The 6001-nt window shown below is 34.0% G+C and overlaps 1 protein-coding gene across 1 annotated transcript; it reads right to left on the bottom strand.

The window, feature by feature from the left end:
- OR6C68 (olfactory receptor family 6 subfamily C member 68) lies at positions 2680 to 3618 on the bottom strand. Its single transcript, NM_001005519.2, has one exon. The coding sequence runs from the start codon at positions 3616 to 3618 to the stop codon at positions 2680 to 2682; it is 939 nt and encodes a 312-aa protein (NP_001005519.2).

Here is a 6001-nt window from a genome sequence, read left to right as displayed (position 1 = left end):
TACAGTATAAGAAATTTTTCCTTTCTTACATTGGTTTGTACAATTACAATTTTTAGATCTGTCACCTCTTTCTGCTACTCTTGGTAGCAATTTCTCATATCTTTTACTGGCAAGTTACCAAAAAAACCTATGTTGGTGTAAGAAATACATCAATATACATACAAATACTCCAAATAATTTATTGACTGAGTTCATATAACTTGTGGAATTAACCTTTCTCATAGTTTGATCCAGAGGTCCATGAGGCAATAAGGGTACTGTTTCCATCTCTGTGTGACTCACTGAGCTACGTGCTCTAACCTTATCTGTGTGCTGGCCTGGTACTCAGGGTAGTTCCTTCGCTGATAGAAACTGTAACCATAGCAGTGTTAGACGTTACTTTTTCACACCATATCGGAGAAAGAATGTACGATGTATCAGACTTCCAGAAGAAGTCTTGATTAACTCTGATTGGCCTGATTTAGATCACAACCCTGAATTAAAAACACTGTGGATTGGTTAATAGAATGCAATAATTAACTTTTGGGGGGTTTTGAGGTTCTCCACTGAAATTAGGAATGGAAACAACTTTCCTGAAACATTCAATTTGATTAAGTTGTTCACTGGGTGTTTTACCTTCAACCCCAAAGATTAATGTAGGCTGAGAAACAAAGCAAGAGGCATTTGTCAAATATTACCAATAGAAACAAATGACATGGGCTTAGAGAACAGGTGAATATTCTTGAATTTTATGTCACTCACTATTATCCCAAGATGAATGGTGTCAACTGTACAGTGTGTTTTTACATTTCATTTCTATTTACACAGAATAATTTATTCACATATTCAAACTTTCATACGGGCAATCATTCATTCATTCATTTATCAAATATGTTCTGTGCATTGTGCAGCAAGATTATTGTATTTGGTGCTCGTGGTGTGGGAAAGGGATGACTAAAACATGTATTATCTATCTTTATGCATTTATGATCAACATAGGATTTTATTTTTCCTAAATGGCATAATGATGTATGTATTATCTTGCAAATAGTTTAAAATTTTTTTTTTGTTTTTTTTGAGTTGCAGTCTCGCTCTGTCGCCCAGGCTGGAGTGCAGTGGCATCATCTCAGCTCACTGCAAGCTCTGCCTCCTGGGTTCATGCCATTCTCCTGCCTCAGCCTCCCTAGTAGCTGGGACTACAGGTGCCCACCACCTCGCCCAGCTAATTTTTTGTATTTTTAGTAGAGACGGGGTTTCACCGTGTTAGCCAGGATGGTCTTGATCTCCTGACCTCGTGATCGGCCCGCCTCGGCCTCCCAAAGTGCTGGGATTATAGGCGTGAGCCACCGCGCCCAGCCAGTTTTTAAAAATTTTAATATCCTTCCATTATAAGATCAAGTTCTATATCATTTGATAAGTACTACATCTTATGCTGTAATTCCCTAATTGACTTACACATTGCCAAGTGATGTTCATTTGGTTATTTTCAATCTTTTACTATTACAAAATGACTGCAATGAGTATAATAATTGGCAAGTAGATTCTGGCATAAATCCCTAGATGTTGATTTCTAGATGAAATCTTATATGTACTGTTAGTAAATATAAATTCCAATGTTTTCAAGTAAATTGTGCATTGAGGTGTATGTTTTACTTTAAGTGTTAGCATACTGGCTAATATTGAACATACGAAAAATTTAGTTTGTGCAAATATGATGGGTGAAATGTATATCATGACTTTAATGTTTAAATCTGTGGCTAATAATGAAGTTGTGCATCCCTTCCTATTGCTATAGGTAATTTTATTTTTTAGTAAAATAAATATCTAATATTTTCTTGGTATTTATAGTAAATTTGTTGCCTTTTTTGATTCATAGAAACTTCCTACATATTTATTATATTAAGCCTTTCATGTTAACTGTACCATAAAGCTATTCTTTTACTTATGTTTTCTCTTTAATATTTTTCATGAAATTTTCTCTTTTTGCTGTAGATATTTTAAAGTTTGTTACTTAAATCTGACTTTTTTTCAGTGAGGCAAGGAATTTGTATCTTGATTAAGAGTGAATTCTCATAGACCAGGTGCAGTGGCTCACGCCTGTAATCCCAGCACCTTTGGGAGGCCGAGGTGGGTGGATCACTTGAGACCAGGAGTTTGAGATTAGCCTGGCCAACATGGTGCAACCCTGTCTATACTAAAAATACAAAAATTAGGTGGGCGTGGTGGCGCATGCTCTTAGTTCCAGTTACTTGGGAGGCTGAATCATGAGAATTGCTTGAACCTGGAAGTTGGAGGTTGCAGTGAGCCAAGATGGCACCATCGCACTCCAGCCTGGACAACAGAGTGGGAATCTATCTCCAGGGGAGAAAAAAAAAAAAAAAAAAAGAATGACTACTCATAGAAGTTGGGAAAAAAATAACTTCACACCCATATTTTAAAATTATCAGAGAAAATCAACTGGAAAGAAGGAAAAAAGAGTGGTTTAATCTGGTTAAGGATTAAAAGTGATATATTTTGTCTATCATAGAATATTATTCAATAATTAATTTCTCAGTACGTAAATTAATAAAAAATTAATGATTAAATGGCTATGCAGTCAACTTGATTGCTCTATAGACTAAGAAATTACAAAGTTGGTTATTGGCTTTATGAAAAATATGAAGCAGATCTTTTATATTGATTTATCAACTTAGGTACACTTTACTTTTTTAAACGAAATGCAATTTTTTTGAGTGAGTCATGAAAGGCTTGTTTAACTTGCTCATTCCTAAGAGTATATATGAAAGAATTCAACATAGGTGATATGGATGAAATAAGCACTGACACACCTTTATTAATGTTTACCTCTTCTTTTGCAGATGGCTTGATATAGATGAAGATGCAGCTGCCATAAGTGATGGAAACCACAGTAATATGTGAAGAACAGGTAGAAAAGGCTTTTTTCTTTTGTTGAACAGAAGGGAATTTTAGAATTGTTCTTATGATATATGTGTAGGACAGAACTACACATACAAGAGTGATAATAAAGGTTAATACAGCAGAGGCTACAACCATCTGCTCAATTAATGATGTGTCTGAGCATGGTATTTTCAGAATAGGCAATGCATCACAGCCAAAATGATTGATGACATTAGAGTCACAGAATTCTAGATGAAAACCTAAGCTAAGTGGTGGGAGGATAATCATAAGTGCTGCCATCCAACAACAAATAACCATTGTTTTGCACACTTTGTTGCTCATGATTGCCATATAATGCAAGGGTTTGCAGATGGCCACATAGCGATCATATGACATGGTAGCCAAAAGAAAAAATTCAGTTACCCCAAAGAGGTCTGCAAAAAATAGCTGAATGACACATGCATTATACGTTATTATTTTGTTCCCAGTTGAGATACTGTATAAGAATCTTGGAACACAGGTAGCTGTAAATGAGATTTCTAAGAAAGATAAATTTTGGAGAAAAAAATACATGGGTGTTTTCAGGTGGGGATCCAACATGGTGAGGGCGATAATGGTCAGTTTCCCTGTTACACTCAACATGTAGGTGATAAATAGAAACATGAAAAGCAGAACCTGCAGCTGAGGATCTTCTGTCAGTCCCAGAAGGATGAATGTTGTTATTGCTGTGTGTTTTCTCATTACTGACTTCTGCATTTTTCCAAAACTACATGTAAATGTCAGAGAAATTTGAACTGCAGCATTCAATAAAAAAAGCAGCTAATGATGAACACTCTCATGCATGTTTCATTTATCCAACATCATAGGTTTTACTTGTTGATCTGCAGAAGTTTATAGTGAGAATATAAATAACATATATGTACATGTTTTAGTACGTTGAGCTCCCTTGATCTATTTATACAAAATGGCCAAATAAGATTATTTTATAAATTTTAGTCAACGAACTATAGAATAACTTTTCTTTATTAATCTTCTATAGTAATTAATTTATAGTGTATTAAACATTTTAACTCATTCTGAGTTGTGCCTTTTTATTGGATTGCATTATTTTTTGAAATATGACTGTTTTTTATGCTGCCAAATGTTTTTCTGCAACTCATAAGCTACATTAAAATAATTCGCTTTAGTTTCATCTCTGTTTTAAAATTTGGGAATTGTAAAACCCTAAAATAAAACATACATCAGGTTCCAAACAAAACATTTCAATTCCCTCTAAGATGTATATTTATTTGCTTTTTGACTGCTTTTTAATTGTTGGTTATTCATTTTAAGAGAAAACCATCTTTTGACCCTAAGGCATCCACGTTTATAATTTTACATATCTCTTCTAAGCTTCATTATCTAAATCTTATATCTACTCCCTGGATAGTGCTGTGTAGTATAATATGATTATTTTTCAGTGCCCTTTTATCACAGTGCAAGACAGTTTTGATTATAATAAATGAACTGCTGAAAAATATAAAAACTATGTCTTCCTGCGTTCAGTTAGCTACTCAGATTAGAACAAGTTATACAACATGGATAAAAGTCAAGACAAAAATTGCTGAATATCCTCGCCATGACACAATATTCTCTCCTTTTTCATTTCCTTCAGATCTACATTCTTTGACTCTATTTCCACAGTACGCATTCGTTTCTCAATCTGTTACTCTCTTATTTTTCACCTCACCAGATTTTTAAAAGTGCTTAATCAGTTAACTTCCTGTGACTTAACCCAGTATAATCATAATATGACAAACACAAATCTCTTGCTATGCTTCAGGCAAATCTCTTGCTATGCTTCTCTTTTAAGTATATTACATATATAATTAATATAATCCTTAGGACAACCTGTGAAGTAGGGAGGTATATTATCTCCACTTAAAAAATGAAAAAGCTGATCGACAAAGAGGTAAAGTATGTGGCCATTGTTTCAGGATAGTAAGTGGCTAGAGAAACCCCAGAGTCCCAGTTCTTTAATCACTGCGCTGTGTTTGTGGTGAACACTTTACCTGAATGTTTTAATTTCATGAAGATAATATTCTGTCTATTGGTAATTGAAACAAAGCTGGGGTTACTACATAGTTTATTATCTAAACCAAGATACTTGAGAAGCACAGCGGGGGCAGTTAATAATTACGTTGATACAACTGGTGTAAACAGGGCTATCAAGAGCAAAAACTAAATGTGTGCCATTCTCTATACAATTACTTACTCCTTGATTCAGGTGTAATATTAGGGCTAATGGAGATTAAACTTTGCCAAAGTGCAACTGGCTAATTTTCCCCATCTTATTGTTTATTTCTTTTAGTATATTGATCCCTCAATGTTTCCTCAATATTTCTTTCAGTGAAATAATAAGACTGAAGACTAGGGACTCTGTTATTCTGGGCTAAGTTCAATAGCTAGGTAGAAGTTGCTGTTGTGTATTCTCAATCATATTGTTAGATATTCACAGGTTTCTAATTTGTAAGTAATGTCTTAAGAGCTTCAAATTTTCTTACCTTTATTAAATGCAAGAGAGATATAAAATAAGGCATTTTCTTATGGTTTTAGAATATTTCCCTCAAAAAGCCCTAATGCATCTACTACAAGAGCTTTAAACAATCAGTGTTTTTCCCTTTTTTGTCTAATCAAGTAAGCACTGTCTTCTGCTAGTATACACCCAATATACTGAGCAAAATCTCCATGGTAGAGGAACACCATCACAGGGCATGCATCTTAATCTAGGCTCAGGGTAGATAAAGCTTGCTAGGAAGCTAATACCCTTTTGAGAGAACATTATAATCAGAAGATGACTCTGTAACTCACACTTAGAACCTCTGTCCTGTTTTCTTCTTTTTCACTATTTCAATTTACCATCCAGTAGTTCTCTTGGTATTGGATTCAGCTTTGTTTGGGTCTTAAGACTATCTTTCATTTTTGATATTTTGCTTTCCCTGAATCCAGTCTTGCATAAATATTAAATATTTAACAATATCATCATATTCATATTGACTCAATACTGCTTTGCATATTTATTTATTTATTTATTATTTTTTATTTTATTTTATTTTTTATTATACTTTAAGTTTTAGGGTACATG

Source organism: Homo sapiens, chromosome 12, assembly GCF_000001405.40.
Source record: "Homo sapiens chromosome 12, GRCh38.p14 Primary Assembly".
Taxonomy (NCBI): Eukaryota; Metazoa; Chordata; class Mammalia; order Primates; family Hominidae; genus Homo; species Homo sapiens.
Note: the sequence above shows the minus strand (reverse complement) of the source record. Positions and strands in the feature narration are given on the sequence as shown.